The following is a 19,694-nucleotide window of genomic DNA, read 5'->3' on the forward strand; positions in this document are numbered from 1 at the left end:
GATTAAAGCTGGGTGATGGGTTCATGGGAGTCTACTAGACTATTCTCCTCTACATTTGTGTGTGATTGAGAAATTTTATAACAAAAGCTTAAAAAAATAACAAAGAAGACTAGACACTGTAATCACTGGAAATAACCAGACATTAAAAAATCTTTGTTTCCCTTTTTGTTACAGGGCAAGCAAGTAAAAAGACATTTTATATTACTAAACACTATCATATGCTAGACAGTAGTAAAACTATAGTCCCCAAGTTTATCTTTGAAGGACTCCAATGGCAAGATTTTTAATAAACAAAGCTGATCATCTCATCTGTATCATTATTTCTTATTATCACTCTATTATCATGGACTCCCAGGAATCTTGGAGATGAATTTGTTCACCTCCTCTAAGAGGAATCATCATCATTGTCCACTCCCTGTCAGCACTTTTTTTTGAGATGGAGTTTTACTCTTGTTGTCCAGGTTGGAGTGCAATGGCATGATCTGAGCTCACTGCAACCTCTGCCTCCTTGGTTCAAGTGATTCTCCTGCCTCAGCCTCCCGAGTAGCTGGGCCTACAGGCACGTGCCACCACGCCTGGCTAATTTTTGTACTTTTAGTAGAGTCAGGGTTTCACCATGTTGGCCAGGCTGGTCTTGAGCTCTTGACCTCAGGAGATCCGCCCGCCTCAGACTCCCAAAGTGCTGGGATTACAGACTTGAGCCACCGCACCCGGCCCACTATTTTTTTTTTTTTTTTTTTTTTTTTTTGGAGACAGAGTCTTGCTCTTTCACCAAGACTGGAGTGCAGAGGCACAATCTTGGCTTACTGCAACCTTCACCCCCTGGGTTCAAGCAATTCTCCTGCCTCAGCCTCCTGAGTAGCTGAGATTACAGGCACTTGCCACAATGCCTGGCTAATTTTTATATTTTCTAGTAGAGACGGGGTTTTGCCACGTTGACCAGGCTTGTCTTGAACTCCTGAGCTCAAGTGATACTCCAGCCTGGGCCTCTTAAAATGCTGGGATTACAGGCATGAGCCACTGTGCCCGACCCCTGTCAGCAGTTTTGCTCTTCCCCTCTCTCCCTCCAGGCCAGAGGCCATGATCTACATCCAACTTCTCTGCAAATTCCTGAACTCTGACTCGATTGTCCCTGTCAATCCTGCCTTTGTGTCTTCCCTTTGAACCTCACTTTCTGATTCTCCTGGCTTCTCTTCTTGACTGTCCCTTCTTGTCTTGCCCCGTTCAGGTGTAGGAACCTGGCCTCAGTCCTAATGAGGCTCCTTCAGGATGCAGCCTCTGTGAGCTGCTTTTGGCTTGTCATGTAACAGCTCTGGCTAGGACTGTGCTGTGTAGGGAGTACCGTCCAGGCACCCAGGGTTGCTGGTCATTACTTTCCTCCTGGCCCCCTGCCCTTTGGGTATGCATGACCTGATAAGGAGCTTAAGGAAACCCACATTAATAGCACTAAATTAGGCTCTATGGAAAGAGAACTCCACAGTCAGGATCTTTGTGCACTCAGGACGGGAAGCATGGACACCCTGGAGAGCATTTGTATTAACATGGGCATTTAAAAAGGTCATACAGCTTGGCGCAGTGGCTCATGCCTGTAATCCCCACACTTTGGGAGGCTGAGATGGGAGGATTGCTTGAGCCCAGGAATTCAAGACCAGCCTGGGCAACATAGAGAGACCTTGTCTCTAAAAAAAGAAAAAAGAAAGAAATTTACTAGATGTGGTGGTGCATACCTGTAGTCCCAGCTACTTGGAGGCTGAGGTGGGGAGGATCACTGAAGCCCAGGAGTTCAAGGCTGCGGTGTGCCATGATTACACTACTGTACTCCAGCCTGGGTGACAGAGTGAGACCCTGTCTCTAAAATAAATAAGTAAGCAAGTAAGTAAGTAAATAAATAAAGAAATAAAATGTTATACAGTTGCTTCTCATTATTCATGGTAGTTATGGTCTGTAAAGTTGCCATGAATACTGAATTAGTGAATACTGAAACATCCCATCTGGGGTAAATACAGCTTCTGGTCACAACAGTTCCTCAACTGATCAATACGTAATCTTGTTTTATGTGTATTTCTATTTAAAAAGACGTTATTACTTATGTATTGTTGATTTATTAACATTGAACTTAGAGCCTACAGCACTATTCCTGAAAAGTTAATTCCAGAATGAAGCTAATCTAACATACATATTTTCTCCTGAGGCACATTTCAGCCTTCTTGCACTTAGAAACACTAGTCAGAATGTTAGCACTATACTTGGGGTCCATTTTAAACAGTGAAATCAGCAAAAAAAGCACAAAAATGCAAAAAACGTAGCACAGCAAAAAGGACACTTGTTTATACTACAAGAGCTGAAACAAGAACACAGTGTGTTGCTTTGTTTGACCTCAGCTAGGAATGTGTGCATTGGGTGACTCAAATTTTATGCGGCTCTGCGCATGTCTGCAAATGTCCACGAAAGTGCTGTATTGATTTGGGGGTTATAAAAAAATTTTAGTGAGCAAGGGAATTCACAAATACAGAATCCATAAATAATGAGAATCAACTGTATCTCCATTAAGTTAGCATGATATGTCATTATATTTAATAAAACAAAACATGCAATTTACTATATGTATGTTATAAAATATATGTAGCCATGTAAAATCGTGGTTCTTAATTCCATATCTTTGAGCCAGGATATCTGAGATGATAAAATTAGATTTCTAGATGAGCTATAAAAATTTAAAATATATAATCTCAGGCTTTACATCTTTAGGCTGTAGATGTTTATCTACTTCTGTATACTTTATATACATATGATATCATATATTTTACCACATGTATAAGTGTACAATCTTAAATCTTCCTTTATTGCAGTGGAAAAAGTTGAACTGAGACAATTTTCAGTGATTATCTGAAATATCATGTTTATATTTAAAGAATATATTAAAATCTAAACACTATAAATCTGACCTAAAATATTTTTTATTTCCTCCTTCACCTTGGTGAAGAGTTGTGAGCAGAAGGTATATATTATTATTATCACACCATAAAAACTATTTCCAAATTTACGTCTCCAATCTCTTCAAAGGACAGAAAACTTTCACATTTAAAATACTATGAAGATAAAGTGCCTTAGCTTTAAGCAAAAAATTAACCATTCCAAGGGCAGTGATCATATGGAATACATTATTAGGAGCTTTCCCAGAGAAACAAAAGAGAATTTAGTCAAAATTTTGGTTCAGCAAAACAAGGGATAGGAAAATGAAGGTTTCAGAATAGGAAGGCACACTGAACTCTGCAGCTGGAGTTTCCTCAGATGTATTTCTGTTTCCCTAGTCTCGAGAGCTGGGCTTTTGCAACTCACTGTTATAGGGTGATTATATCATTGTCACTTCATCTTCCATGGGTGCAGCAGGATGGTGGAATTTTGGGGGTGGCATGTTTTCAGTGCATTGTGGTCATGAGAAGAGTCCCTCTTTAGAAACTACTGATGCTTGATGCAGTGGTAGAAAAAACTATCCAGGAAGATAAACTAGGGCGATATATAATCTTTTCCCGCTAGCCATCCAAAATTTTCCTAAATATTACATAGACAAGGAAAATAAAGCATTAAAAGTCCATCTAGATACTAAGGAGGAGTAGGGAAAGACATTACAAAACACAAAATAACTACAGTCATGTGCCAAATAATGACATTTGGGTCAACAACAGACCTCATATACAACACTGGTCCCATGAGATTATAATGGAGCTGAAAAATTCCTATCACCTAGTGATGTCGTAGCTATCATGATATTGTAGGGCAATATATTACTCACGTGTTTGTGGTGATGCTGGTGTAAACAAACCTACCATGCTACCAGTCATATAAAAGCACCTATAATTATGTACAGTACATAATACTTACTAATGCTAATAAATGACTGTTACTGGTTTACGTATTTACTATACTATTTATCGTTATGTTAGAGTGTACTCCTTCTACTTATATTTTAAAAAGTTAATTGTAAAACAGCTTCAGGCAGGTCCTTCAGGAAGTATCCAGAAGAAGGTGTTGTTATCATAGGAGATGACGGCTCACACATGTTACTGCCCCTGAAGACTTCCTTTGGGATAAGATATGGATGTGGAAGACAATGATATTGATAATCCTGACTCTGTGTAGGCCAAGGCTAATGTGTGCTTTTGTGTTCTGGTTTTTAACAAAAATGTTTACATTAAAAAAATTAAAAAACAGAAAAAAGCATATAGAATAAGGATATAAAGGACGAATGTTTTGTACAACTGTACAATGTGTTTGTGTTTTAAACCAAATATTTTTATAAAAGTCAAAAAGGCTAAAAAATGAAAGTTACAAAGAAAAAAGTTACAGTAAGGTAAAGTCAATTTATTATTAAAGAAAGAAAAATCTTTTTTATAAATCTAGGGTTGCCTAAGTGTAGGTGTTTCTAAAGTCTACAGTAGTGAACAATCATTACTAGGCCGTCACATTCACTCCCCACTCACTCACCGACTCACCCAGAGCAAATTCTGGTCCTGCAAGCTCCATTCATGGTAAGTGCCCTATACAGGTGCACCATTTTTCATCTTTTATACTGTGTTTTTACTATCAGCGATACATCTCTCATCCCCCAGTGTGTGGTCAGGCTCACTGAGCAGATTCCACTGAAAATAGTCTTCGTTTTGCACACTTAAAAATTCTTTCCAAACAAGTGTTTCTTTTTAACATTCCCAAAGCAGATTGACTTTTTGAGTTTTGTATTGCTTCCAACTCTCTCAATGTCAGAGGCCTCAAATTAATTCCAACATCCCCTTGCTGTTTTCCCTTAAGAAGCTGTGATGGTGTTGCATTCACTTTGGATTCAGTCCATTTGTGTTTATTGGAAGGCCCCTTGAATCAGCATTTCCACTGCTCTCCCACATTTGTCATGGTCCTAGAAATGCTTATGATTAGGATGGGGATCTTGATAGTAGTCTCCATCACCTTTACTTCATCCCATGGTTATGAACAGTTGTATCCAGTTAAAATAAGAAAGAAGTCATGTGGAAAAAAGGGGGACAATTGAATATTATTAGAGCCTCAAGGAAGGAAGGAAGGCCACAGGGTGAAAACCATTGCATATTAAGTAGCTAAGCCTAATAGAAGCCAAAGGAAACAGCAGCAAACTGTTACAGAAAATTCTTTTGAACTGCCCTCCGCCCACTCTCTCCCCGCTGCTGTTGGTGACACGTGGACAGAAATCCCCCTGCACGTAGACACACATATGCCTGCCTTGACTTCTGATTGACCTTATCCCTTGAACATCAGGCTTAGGCCACTTTCATGGATTCTCATGTGAACGTTCATGCCTAATGCCTGACTGCATGCCCTCCGCACCAGCCACTAATAAGAAGAAGGAGGCTTCCCCTGGCCACCCAAGATGAGGCAGTGCCCACCTTCCCTCTTGTCACATTCTATTACATCATCACATTTTATTTCTCTGCCTAGGACTTACCACTGTCTCGTGTATTCATTAGTTGACTTGTTTATTATCTGTCTTCCCCAACCAGAATGTAATTCTGCGGAGAGGCTCTGTCTGGTTTAGTGTAATCTCCAAGGCCTAGCACTGTCCTTGGCATGGAGTAGCCCCCAGGAAATATTCGTTGACTGACTGACTATGAAATGGTGGAAGAGGAACTTTGCTCCATGAGTTGTGAGTGTATGCACAGCACAGGTGTTCAGAGTGATTTTCCCTCCCCCACGTTCACTACAAAAAGTACCCTCAGTTACAGGCCCAGGGGTAATGGCATCACCGCATTGTTGACTCAACTTGTAACTGACTTCTAGCTCTGTTTCTGACTTAGTTTTGGCCTTTGGGACAGGTCAGGAGGGTGCAGCAAAAACAAATACACCAGATGACTAGAAGCTGGGATCTTGGGTTGCAGGCTTGGTTTCAGCTCTGACTCACTGTGTAAACCATGGGTGACTCACTTAACCTCTCTAATTCTGCTTCTTCATCCATCAAATATAGAGGTTAGATAGATGACACTTCAGATCCCTTGTAATTCTTCCATTCTATAATGTTCCCCTTTACCTTTCTTTAAGTGTGAGCACAGCCTAGTCTCTTCATGCAGGAGTAAACGTACTTACAAAATGTCCTGCAACACTTAGGGAAATGCCACCACAAACATTCCGAGAGCAGCATTGCTGTGAACTGCACCACTCTCCTTTTGTTCCATTGAAGATTTCAGAACACATGCTTCTTTGCTCTGCACTTTAGGAATCTTTGTACTTGAAGTGGATTATCCTTTATTTTTATATAGCATTTAATCTGAGGATATCAAGATTTATTTGCAACCTGCCATTGAGTACTATTGTTTTTTAAAAAATGAAAGGATGACTTGCTGAAATTATAAGAATCACTCATACTGTAGTTGTAGCTGTGTAGCTGTTGATGCTACACATTGGAAATTCAGTTACAAAATAGTGATTGATTGATTGATTGATTGATTGAGATGGGGTCTCGCTCTGTCACCTAGGCTGGAGTGCAATGGCACAATCTTGGCTCACTGCAACCTCCGCCTCCCAGGTTGAAACAATTCTCCCACCTCAGCCTCTTGGGTAGCTGGGACTAAAGGCGTGCGCCACCATGCGGGGCTAATTTTTGTATTTTTTAGTAGAAACGGGGTTTCACCTTGTTGGCCAGACTGCTCTCGAACTCCTGACCTCAAGTGATCTGCCTGTCTCGGCCTCCCAAAGTGCTGGGATTACAGGTGTGAACCATCACGCCCAGCCAAATATTTATTTTTTAAATTAATACATGCACAGCAGAATTCCATGATAAACACCTGCTTATTACATGAATTAAGTCTATCACTTGCCAAAATGTCTGAGCCCCACAAATGACTGGGTCTACTGAGTATGCTTCCCGACACTTTTATTTTTATTTATTTATTTATTTTTTGAGATGGAGTCTCCTTCTGTTACCCAGGCTGGAGTGCAGTGGTGCAATCTCACTGCAACCTCCACCTCCTGGGTTCAAGTGATTCTCCAGCCTCAGCCTCCCGAGTAACTGGGCTTACAGGCGGGTGCCACTACGCGGGGATAATTTTTGTATTTTTTGTAGAGACAGGGTTCCGCCATATTGCTTGGGCTGGTCTTGAACTCCTGGGCCCAAGCGATCCGCCCACCTCAGCCTCCCAAAGTGCTGGGATTACAGGCGTGAGCCACTGCCCCCGGCGCCAACACTCATTTGCTCTTCAACCAACTGAGATTTGACTCTTTCTCTTTAGTTTGCTGAATCTTCTGTTGCTTTATAATGGCTGTTGCCATCTAAAATCCAAACTTACGGTCGTGTGTTAATTTCTATCTTATTTGATAGATTCACAGCAGGTTTTTGTGCCTTCTTACTAGGTCCCACTTGGCATTCATGCTGGGTTACACATCTATGTTCTGTACACTCTTTTCTGTGTACCTGGGATGTGTTCTCAATCTCATCTGCCTGGCAAACCCATTTTTGAAGATACTACTCAAACATTTCATCCTCTTTGAAGCCTTTCTGACCCACTCTTCCTGTGCTGGGAACAACTGGCTTCTCTTTTCTGAACTAATGTTATGCCAATAAACACCAGAGTAAGGGAATTTATTCCATATTCCATTATTTCTTTTTGCATGTCTGTATCACCTACTGAGAATTCATTGTGGATAATGATTTTCTTTTTAATTTTTATATTCTTAGGCATTGCCTAGTGCTCTCAATAAGTATTTGTTGAATAAATAAATGAATGAATTACTGAAAATACAGTGACTTAATTTCTGGCCCCAACACTTACGTTTTAGAAAGGTTTTGATCTCTGCCTGTGAAATGCTCTTTGAAATGGCTTTCTGAGTAGTAATGGGATTGGAAGAGTTCGGAGAATTCCATGTATCCTATGGTGATGTCTGGAGTGAAACATGGTATGAATCAAATTGCATTTTAGTTTAAATTAACTCATCCAATTAAGAGAAGTTAATTAGATTAACCTGCCAGCAAGGGATTAGAACTGGTATTATGATGACTAGTTTCTTCCTCATAATAATGAATGTGAAATTTCACTAATGGAGTGAAATTTGTGCAGCCACCCATGGATTGATTGAATTGGCAAAAATTCAAATAAGTTAAAAAAATATGGCTCTCATTGCTTTTGACTAATTTATAATTTTTAATTGAAAAAATGATTTATTATCAGTGTTAAAGAAGACTTAAAGAAATAAATAAATCACTGATAAATCTGTCATCCTAAGCAGCAGATGTTTTTGAGTTAAATATAACTTTTGCATACATGTATATTTTTATATAGTTGTATCATGGTATGTTTTTCATTTTTCTATAGGCTTCCCATATGTGATCATCTATAATGAATGTATAGCAATATTTACCAAAATATATTCTACAGAATGCTATTTTCTTGAGATTTAATTGACATTACTTGGGGATAATAAAACATCACTGAAGTCAAATAAGTTTGGGAAATTATAAAAGTAAACAAATTTCTTCACTGTAGTATTTCTGAAAGCCTATAATATTGTAAAATGCTTTTTTAAAAGATGAGGATTTGACACATATTCTCCAAATTAATATTTACGTGAAATGTTTTCTTTTTACACTATGAAAAACTGTCACACTAAAAACTGTTTAGAACATACTTTGGGAATCAGTGATGGGTAGAATTCTGTGGTGCTGCAATAACCTAATTTACTACCCCATTCCTCTACTGTTGGACAAGGATGTTCAAACCCAAGTTTCTTAACGTGGTCGACACATCCATGTAGGGTCTGGTCCCTCTTGGCCTCATCTCCCACCCTCTTCCCCCTTGCTCACTGTGCTCTTAACACCTTGGTTTCCTTCAGTTTCTGGAACTCACTAACCTCTGCCCCCATGTCAGGCAGGGCTTTTGCACATGCTAATTTGCCTCTTATAGATAATAGTACTTTTTTTTTTTTGAGATGGAGTCTCACTCTGTTACCCAGACTGGAGTGCAGTGGCATGATCTCGGCTCTACAACCTCCGCCTCCCAGGTTCAGGTGATTCTCCTGCCTCAGCCTCCCAAGTAGCTGGGACTACAGGCATGCACCACTACACTCAGCTAATTTTTGTAGTTTTAGTAGAGATGGGGTTTCACCATGTTGGTTGGCCAGGATGGTCTCTATCTCTTGACCTCGTGATCCACCCACCTCAGACTCCCAAAGTGCTGGGATTATAGGCATGAGCCACCATGCCCACTCTGATAAATAGTACATTTATCATGTTTCCTTTTATCGAATTATTTCCCAACTTACTACCCATTTTCAGGAGACATAATTAGTAACATAAAGAAATCTAGTACTATTGGTTTCATTTTGAACCAGCACTGTGCTGCATGGCATTTTCCTGTCTTTCCAGTAACAGCCAATCACAGCTCACTATTATGGATGTCAGCCTCAACAAAACCAAAAGAGCAAGGCACATAATCGATCACAATGCCAAGACCAGTGACTTTCAGATCAGTTATTCTATTCTCTCTGTGGATGAGATCCATTGAGGGTCGGCCAGATGTCTTTTTTCAGGGGTTTTTCAGAATATATGTTTCATGTTGTTACACATCATTGCTCACAAGGATTTTGCTCAGTGTGACAAGGAAGTGGCAGTTTGCTTGCTCCTTCCACACTCTTGAAGGCCTATGGTGCTCTAAAGGAAGTGAAGGGTGACTGTTGACCTAGTTAGAGCAGCCTCCCAAGAATGCAAAATGAGACCTGGGGGACACACATCCTACTCTGTATTTTGCAGCTCATCAGTAATTTTATTAGGAAAGAAGATGAAAGTATAGAAGGAATAATTATCAAAAAGTATAAGTGACCCCAAATCATAGAGTAAGGTTTTTGGTCTAACCCATTGATTTTACAGATGAGGAATGGCAGATCCAGGGCTGAGACCACAACACAACTTCAGGAGGAGGCATTCGCATAGACAATGGGATGAATGGGGCCCCCTGGAGTTGTTCAGTGGGTTAGCCCTGTTCAGAGAAGTTAAGAGACTTGTCCAAGGTCACTTTGTAGGTTTAGCCTGCTGTTCTTTTGTGTTTGATGATAGAATAGGCATGAACTAGAGAATTACAATTTGGACTGGCTACAGTGATAGTCTAAAATTAGTGTAAAGCCAAAAGTATAAACTCAGTTTAAGTTTTGAAATGAATTGACTCAATCAAGGTGGGGGACATATTGGCTTGACAGCATTTAAATTAAAAAAGTCTCAGTGAGGAGTTAGTTGGCCATAAGCACTGTGTTAGGCAACCTGAGGTCTGCAGTGGTAAAGTGATTTATTGGAATCCTATGCTGGAGTGATAGAGACAGTGCATCCCACACCCCTGTACTGACTAGGACGCAACTGAAATTTTGCACTGAGTTCAAGGAGTCATATTTTTTAAAGGGACAATAATAAATCTTTGATCTCCAAGGTCATGTGCAGGGCACTTAGTACCAACTCAATGGATGTTTATTCAGTTAGTTTGTTGCTAAACTAACTATGCTGTATGTAAAGTGCCTGACACATAGTAGGTGCCCAGAAATGTTAGTTTTTATTCTCTTTTCCGGAGGAGGACAATGAGATTGCTATAGATTCTTGCAAACATGCTGACTAAAGAACCCGTGAGGAAGTTAGGAATTACTGTGAATCTTTGAGTCTTCTAACACTGAGAGCCTGATTCTCTGCTTTATTTAAATAATAATAAACAGGATTTATTATTAAGATCTCATTGGAACTGTAGAAATGTCAGTGAGTCTCCCTCCCTCCCTCACTCCCTTCCTCTCTTTCTTCCTCCCTTCCTCACTTCCTTCCTTCCTTCCTCATTATTGATTATCCTGGCAATGTGTTACACTCTGGGAATTCAAAAATTAGTGATTTATGATTACTCTTAAGGGACAGACATGGAAACAAACACATTACAATATAGTGTGATAGTTGCAGCAATAGAAGCACGTGGACAGCACAGATATAATAATTCAATTCAACACATACTTGCTGTGAGAACTTCTATGTACCAGGCACTGTGCTAAGCTCTGAGAATACAGCTGAACACAAGACAGACACATCTCTTGGGGGGAGATAGACATTAAATAATTAATTACATATGTGGAAGTATTCCACAAGCTACCATGAGAATGAGGGTTGTGAGAAAAGAAAGGCTTCGCTGAAGAAGTAGTGTTTGAGCTGAGGCTGAATAAAGTGTAGAGATTGGCCAAGCGTGAAGGGAGGGGAAGAGAATCCCAGCGAGATGTCACCAGTGAACTTCCCTAAAGCCCCGTCATCAAGCTTCCCTGAAATCGTTTTTGTAAAGAACCTTTTTTTTTTTTTTTTTTTTTAGAGATAAGGTCTTGCTTTATTGCCCAGGCTGGAGTGCTGTGGCATGATCAGAGTTCACTGTAACCTCGAACTTCTGGGCTCAAGCGATCCTCCTGCTTCAGCCTCCTGAGTAGCTAGGACTACAGCCATGTACCACCATGCCTGGGTAATTATCTTTTTCTTTTCCATAAAGACATGATTTCACTCTGTTGCCCAGGCTGGTCTCAAACTCCTGGCCTCAAGTGATCCTCTTGCCTTGATCTTCCAAAGGGCTGGGATTACAGGTATGAGTTACCACACCTGCTGATTTCCGTGAAATCTAAATGTTCTTTTGCAAAGTTCGTGTGTGAGGATCACTTCAAGTTTTTCTCATATTTGCTGGAGAGAGAAATAATCCAAGATGCACATAGAGGTATTATAGTAAACTTGGAGACTCATGCTTGTTTTGGCAGTGTTGGTGTGACTTACAGACAAAATAGAAGGTCTTGTTTGTTATGAATTAAAGAGTTTGGAGCAGATCTTCCACACTTATATGGAGATTCATTTCTTAGGGTGACTTTCTCTCAAGGGCATCTTATAAAATTCATGTATTCTAAGAAAATATAATACATTAGCAGGAGTAAGTGTAACATTACTTTTTGAAGGAAGAGAAAGGAAAGAAGGGGCAAAGGCCTTGTTGGGGTCGGGGGAGTGACCTGAAATTAAAGGATAATGAAGGGGAGGCCATGGAATAAGATACCACATTTCTCTAGACTCAAACTGTCTAGGGCTGGCCTTGAGGAATGGGTTAAAATAAAATATAGAAAAAAAAGAGAAAATATTGGAAACCAAAATGATTTACATGGGTGCTCTGAATTCATGAATCATCTACAGAGAAGTAAGAGTGAAAAATCTTCCTTGAAAAACCCACTCAGTGACACTTCTCTGACCACCCTCTCCTGGATGATGTTAATCGCCTTTTCTTCTGTACTATCTCACTTCTTTGTATTCATCTCAAATTTTGCAAATGTTACCTACTGTGTTATATGGTTTGCTCGTAGTTTTTGTCTTTTATTCATCTCTAAACTGCTTGAGATTGGATTTATTCTCTCATGATTCTCGGCACCTAGCTCAGTACCTGAGATTTGGTACTTTTTTTGGGTGAATTAACGAGCAATTTTGAGGGAATGGAAGAGAGAAGAATGATTTAGATAGAGGTTAGACAAAAATTAAAATGTTGTGGAGGACAGATAGGGAATGAAGTGTCAAGATAAAAGAGCTATGACAACAAAGGGGGCCTGACGCAGTTTGGGCCCTCAGGAGGTCTCTGAGGGAGTGCTGTTGAGTTGAGATCTGAAAGACGATCAGGCATGTACTAAACCAGGAGAGGAAACCTAAGGGAGCAACCCAAACAAGTCTCCTGGATAATGATGGAAGTGAGTTAAGAGCTAGATGGAAGGTAAAATCAATAAGGCTTTATTACTCATTCAACAGATGCTATATTCCTTACATCCCTCTAGCTCTGGAGACACAGTGGCAAATGAGCAAGTCCAGCATTCAAAGGACTTACATTTTAGTAGAGAGAGATAGATAAACAAACATGCAATCATTATTTGTTGATGGTGCCAGAGATAATTGACAAGGATGGCTTCCAGCTTTCTAAATTGGGCAACTGATGGATGCTGGGCTATTTGCAGAGACAGGAAATGCTGAAGGAGGACCAGGTCTGTCCAGGCAGGGTATGGATTCCATTTTGGACATACTGTTTAAGTGGCTTTGAGATGAACAAATGGATTCCAAGTAGTCAGTTGTATATGTGGGCTTGGGTTTGAAGTTGTCTGGGCCTGAGACACACATCTGGGAGTCAGTAACGTATAGATGGTAATTAAAACCATGGGGGTAGGAAGAGCTATCCTTACAACCACTCAAACCAGGCACTTCAATTCATGGAGAGCCGTTCACATAGACTGTGGTCTGAATAGTGTCTCCTGCATTTATACAGAGTGGTGACCATGGGTGTGGACAAGATGACCTAGTGAAAAAATATGGAGTGAGAAGAAAAGTGAGTTTCTAGGACTAAATCTTCAATTACTTCAACATTTAAAGGCCCGGCTAAGAGGAAAGAGTTCTTAAGGGAGAGTGTGGTGGAGCAGCAGAGTTGGGAGGAAAACCAGGAGCGTAATGTCAGTGAAACCCAAGGAAGAGAGAGCTTTGAGGAGGAATCGGATAGCAGGGTCAACTGCTGCTGAGAAATCTAGTAAGATACGAACTGGACACATGTCATCTCAGCTCATTGGTGGCCTCAGTAAAAGCAGTTTTGCAGGAGTGATAAAAGTGGAATAATATGGCCAGATTGGAATAGGTTGAGAAATGAGTAGGAGGTGAAGACATGTAGACAGCTGATGTGTCCTATAACATGACATTTGAAGAATGTCCTCACCCAGCCATGTGGGATGAGCCCCAAGTTGAGGCAATTCAGCTCAGATGGAAGTGGTAATCTTGCAAGAAACCCAATTTGGAGTTGTCGGGCTTAGAAGTGATTAGGGCTCTGAGAAATAGATTTTTCTTTTTTCACTTCCTCTGCCATTTTATTCTCTCAAATATGACATTGATTAGAATGCCAGTGTTTGAGGTGATGACAAGAGAGTGTTTTTGGAATAGGGACTGGAATTTCCAGCACACACATTGAGTTGATTCTACTGTTATATTTGAATAGCACTAATAAATTGGGAAAACATGGTGCAGACCACACACAACTGTTGGAATGTCCTCCACTGATGTAAAGATTATATGATTATATTCCCCAGACCCTTGCATTTAAATACACCCTACTCTTCTTGCCCAGTCTGTCCATTGGCCTTTAAGGAAATACCAATCTTGTAATCACTCTCAGCTTATGATGTTTCTCGGCCTCTTCAATGGCATGTGGGAATTAGTGTTTCCTGGGTGAAGGTTAATTTGGGGGAAGAGTCTAGATAACTCAGTGGCTTTAGGACTCATTTGTTGGGACCAGAGGTCCCACATTTGCCCTTGACCTTATGGGATCTGTGGGTTGTCTTTTCCCTTTGTTGTGGGACTGCCATCCAAGAACCTGTTCTCTGTATCTATAGCATGGAGCTGTCCTCCAGAGTGCTCTTTAGAAAGAGCTCCAATAATTGGGAATTATGCAAATTTAGAAAAGGGTATTTCAAGTCTATTTTCAGTCATTTCCCAAGATATTTAAAAGTATAGTATAGAGAAAAATCGTTTTGCATTTCATATAGGCTTGGGATAGCCCATTGTCAAAATTCAGTGCATGTCACAATGTAATTCACTGGAGGAAAATATGCTATCAACAGGATTTCCAAGCAAAAAGCCTGGCACTAATTATTGCCCTCTCTTTAGTGTCTTTAACTGCCAGATCTAACATGTGTTAACCTTATACAGCATAGTTGTAACACCAAAGGTTAGTCTCTCATTCATACAAAATTTGTGTGAGCTTAGGAATTCACCACTAAGCACATCTAAGCAATGTTAAAAGAGTGGGCATATATTCACTATTCTGATATAACTGCACACAGAGTTGGTAACTTGAAAAGTGAAGAATATATAATATAAATGGTAATGTGAAACAAAAAATTCTACTGAAGTTTATAGAATGCAGGTGTACCTATCAACATCACCTGTATTCAGCCATTTAAAAATCTCTCATTTTACACACACACACACACACACACACACACACACACACACACACACATCTTTGCTCTAATCAAATATTTCCACTTAAAATTCAAATGTTTCCTTGAAGGAAGATATTGTACTGTTTCAAAGTAGAGTTAGAGTCAATACAGTCTTTAGTTTTACACACAGGTTCACTGGAGGCTGTTCTGCCTCGGTAGCAGTCACTCAGTTTGAAATAAATTAGTGTTTGGAGGCCGGGCGCGGTAGCTCATGCCTGTAATCCCAGCACTTTGTTAGGCCGAGGTGGGCGGATCACCTGAGGTCGGGAGTTCGAGACCAGCCTGACCAACATGGAGAAACCCCCGTCTCTACTAAAAATACAAAATTAGCCGGGCATGGTGGCACATGCCTGTAATCCCAGCTACTAGGGAGGCTAAGGCAGGAGAATTGCTTGAACCTGGGAGGCAGAAGTTGCGGTGAGCCGAGATTGTGCCATTGCACTCCAGCCTGGGCAACAAGAGTGAAACTCTGTCTCAAAAAAAAAAAAAAAAAAAAAATTAGTGTTTGGAAAAGCTGTGGGGTGGAACACCTTCTTACTCTTTGGGAGCAACTGGGAAACTAAAGAGAAAGAGATATGTCTTGTCTTGAAGGAAACTTGTTGACAATTGCTTAATAGAATGATGATAACTGAAAAAAATATGTATTCGTTTTTTAGTCTCTGAACATTCCCATCTATTTTGTGTTGGATAGGAACATCTAATAGGAACATCCACTAGTAGATAGAAACATCTGCTATGTGTTCCTACCTGTGTTCTCTATTTGAAGTTGGAGATCTCTCAAGAACAAGTATTCTTTCAGGAAAGTACCACTGCTATCAGTAGTCCTTTTTTATAATTTTTTTTTGTTTTATTCATGTTTTCAGTGTCACTTTTACAATGTACTCCTCTTGTATTCTTTCTTTGAATGGTCAGATGTCAAGCACTGTAGGAGTTTTGGGGCAGGAAACTGGTCTGCTAAATCTGTGAACTATTGCAGGTCACTGCTGCTGTGATACTTTGGGAATGAAGTCCCAATGATACCTCTAAACAGTCACAGCTGTTTGAGCTCTCTCAGCTACTGCAAATAATTCACTGACCTGCACAGTTAGAACTATCAAGAGTTTTTTAAAAGCAATGTTGCCTGCATAGAATTGAGAAGTTGTAGAAGAAAAGAGAGAAGGCCTATTCAATATTTTAAAGATTTATTATGTTTTTCTGATTATAAAAGTGATACTGGCTGATTACAGACAACTTGGAAAAGACATATTAAATATTAAAAGAAAAATGTTCTATTTATGGAGCGTTTGGATACTATGTTTTTGATGTTGTGCATGTGTTCTTGGGGACTTGACTTCATGTCAATAAAGGACAGCAGCATCTCATAATGCCACTGCCATTGGCCTTGCACCTCTGCTCTGATTTTCTTTCCTTTCACAACATCATAAACAAAACCACATGTTACTTGTGTGGTCAAGTTAAAGGAAAGAATATCTCACCAAAATGAAAGAACTACAGGTGAAAAAAATAAACCCAGCCCTATGGTTTTCCTTTGCTCACTGTTATGTTTCTTGTAGGAGGCTTGAAGTGGCAAATGTGAGCCAGTGGTCATAGCTTGAGCTATCTGTTTTCTGTATGCACTGCATCCAAGGCTGGCTTTCAACTCACTAAAGAAAATTTATCCCAAACAACAGGACTTTGATTTTCCAAGCTCCTTTTCAAACTCAGCTTGGCTTTATTGATGTTGAATATATTTATTCATGGTGTTTGCACTAGTCTTGGAGCTGTCTGTGTGAGTAGACCTGACTACATATTGAATTATACATTATTCATTTGCTATAATTTCTTTGACAGCCATTTTCTCCTTCTAAATTCTGTTGTAGAATGCAGGTGTACCTATCAACATCACCTGCCTTCATCCATGTTTAAATCTCTCTTGTCTTATGCACACACACACACACACACACACACATACCCCTTTGCTCTAATCAAGGATTTCCTTTTAAAAATTCAAATGTCTGGGCAAGGACTTCATGACTAAAACACCAAAAGCAATCGTAACAAAAGCCAAAATTGACAAATGGGATCCAATTAAACTAAAGAGCTTCTGCATGGCAAAAGAAACTACCATCAGACTGAACAGGCAACCTACAGAATGGGAGAACATTTTTGCAATCTACCCATCTGACAAAGGGCTAATATCCAGAATCTACAAAGAACTTAAACAAATTTACAAGAAAAAATCAAACAACCCCATCAAAAAGTAGGTGAAGAATATGAACAGACACTTCTCAAAAGAAGACATTTATGCAGCCAACAGACACATGAAAAAATGCTCTTCATCACTAGTCATCAGAGAAATGCAAATCAAAACCACAATGAGATACCATCTCACACCAGTCAGAATGGTGATCATTAAAAAGTCAGGAAACAACAGATGCTGCAGAGGATGTGGAGAAATAGGAACGTTTTTACACTGTTGATGGGTGTGTAAACTAGTTCAACCATTGTGGAAGACAGTGTGGCGACTCCTCAAGGATCTAGAACTAGAAATACCATTTGACCCAGCAATCCCATTACTGGGTGTATACCCAAAGGAGTATAAATTATGCTACTATGAAGACACATGCACACGTATGTTTATTGCGACACTATTCACAATAGGAAAGACTTGGAATCAACCCAAATATCCATCAATAATAGACTGAATTAAGAAAATGTGGCACATATACACCATGGAATACTATGCAGCCATAAAAAAGGATGAGTTCATGTCCTTTGCAGGGACATGGATGACGCTAGAATCCATCATTCTCAGCAAACTATCACAAGGACAGAAAACCAAACACCACATGTTCTTACTCATAGGTGGGAATTGAACAATGAGAACACTTGGACACAGGGTGCGGAACATCACACACCAGGGCCTGTCAAGGGGTGGGAGCCTGGGGGAGGGATAGCATTAGGAGAAATACCTAATGTAAATGACGAGTTGATGGGTGCAGCAAACCAACATGGCACATGTATACCTATATAACAAACCTGCATGTTGTGCACATGTACCCTAGAACTTAAAGTATAATAAAAAAATTCAAATGTCTCCTTGAGAATGGTGGCTTTCTAAGGGAACTAGGAGTTTTCTAATAAATGGCTAAAAGAGAGACATTCATGGAATGATGTAGAGGATATATTTTTGAGAGTGGAGTATAAAAATCAGCATGAAGCATAGGAGATAGAAATGGGAAGTAGTAGCATGTCAAAGGCAAGCCTCCATTCATTTAAACCAGCACCTAGATCAAGAAAGAGACCATCGCCAGAGCCCCAGGAGGCCTCCTGCAAACCTCCTTCTTATCATTAACTCATCAAAAGTAACTTTTACCCTCACTTCTAATACCACAGGTTGGTTTTAAGTGTCTGCTGGGTTCTGCTGTGATGACAAAGAACCCAGTTTTCAGTGGTTTATATTCTGTTTTGGATGCTGGTATCGGGATACTGCACACTCAATTTCAGCTTTGCCTGCCGTGCCTATGTCAGGTTCTGCATATAGAGGGGACTGGGGGGAGCCTGCAAGCCTAGAGGGAAAGAAGGACTTGCTTCCTCCTAGCCACTTGCTATTCTTCTGGGCATTAGTCTAGTAATCCTTCTATATTGTGGTGATGGCAGTTCCTTGCTCTTGCAGCAGCTGAATCCAGTTTGTAGTTCTTCCTAAACTTGTGGGTCTGGCTTCATGGCATCCCCATAGAGCACTAGCTGAGCAGCACCACCTCCTTAGAGCTCTGGGTTTCAGCCCCATGGGGCCTCTCTTCCACGTTTGGAGACCCCAGCAACAAACGGTCACAGGTCTCCTCCAAAAGTTTCCTTTGTTCACATAGACCTACCTCCTTGATGCCTAAGAGTTCTCTTTTTACCCTAGCTTTACAAACTCAGCTTTGTGCCTAGTTGACACATTTTTAATGTGAAAAGATCTCTATTCAAATAGCTGGTAAGATTTCTGCCTTTTAAGTAATAAATTTAGATTTCTTTTATCTTTTTTGCTTTCACTATGTAGACACTCATTTCTCATACCCCTATTCTACTAATATAGTTGGACCATTTATTCATTTACCTAAAATATTGAGCACTAACTTTGACCAATTTAATCAAATTGTCTTCCAAGAATACACTAGTTTTATAAACCTTCTTTCCTTATGCTCACAAAAGTTAAATATTCTCTCAATTCATTTTCTTGAAGAAGTATCTTCTGGAACCTAAGACCAGCTCCAGGCTGAGCAGGGTCTACTGCATAGCTGTTTCCTTATAAATCTTCATTTATCACCGTTTTGGAGATTCCTTCTCTTGTATGGGGTAACTTGTTATCTAGAGCTCATGTTTTCTCTTTCTTGCTTTGTTCCCTTGTTTTGCCAGAGCACACCTTCTGGTAGCTTTTGAAGAAAGAGTGCATGGGAGAAAAAAATGTTTTGAGATATTTTTCATGTAAACCTCTCAAAGTATAAAATTCAAGGCTAGAAATTGTTTTCTGTCAATTGTAAAGTGAATGCTTCATTGTTTTCTTGCCTCTGGTTTCTCTGTTGAGAAGTTTATTGTCCTTTTGACTACTCCTTTTTATGAAAATTTTTGTTTCTCTATGTTTTCAGGATCCTCAATATTGGAAATCTTCACAATTATGTATATATTGGTGTGTGTATGCTTTCAGCCATTGTACTGGA

The 19,694-nt window shown here is 39.9% G+C and overlaps 1 long non-coding RNA gene across 1 annotated transcript in view, besides 2 other annotated features; it reads left to right on the forward strand.

The window, feature by feature from the left end:
- The window catches only part of DLEU1 (deleted in lymphocytic leukemia 1), a 446,475-nt gene that overhangs the window by 157,192 nt on the left and 269,589 nt on the right, over positions 1–19,694 (forward strand). The gene's annotated exons all lie outside the window — the stretch shown is intronic.
- Positions 4,857–6,056: an enhancer, noted in NCBI's record as "CDK7 strongly-dependent group 2 enhancer chr13:50818353-50819552 (GRCh37/hg19 assembly coordinates)". NCBI's record gives its function as "activates an origin of replication core promoter dependent on BRD2, BRD4, P300/CBP, MED14 and CDK7 cofactors, with strong dependence on CDK7, by STARR-seq in HCT116 cells {active_cell/tissue: HCT116}" and the evidence as "EXISTENCE:reporter gene assay evidence [ECO:0000049][PMID:35650434]".
- Positions 9,695–10,210: an enhancer, noted in NCBI's record as "NANOG hESC enhancer chr13:50823191-50823706 (GRCh37/hg19 assembly coordinates)". NCBI's record gives its function as "activates a minimal SCP1, AML or CMV promoter by ChIP-STARR-seq in naive H9 embryonic stem cells {active_cell/tissue: H9 hESC(naive)}" and the evidence as "EXISTENCE:reporter gene assay evidence [ECO:0000049][PMID:30033119]".

Source organism: Homo sapiens, chromosome 13 (assembly GCF_000001405.40).
Source record: "Homo sapiens chromosome 13, GRCh38.p14 Primary Assembly".
NCBI lineage: Eukaryota > Metazoa > Chordata > Mammalia > Primates > Hominidae > Homo > Homo sapiens.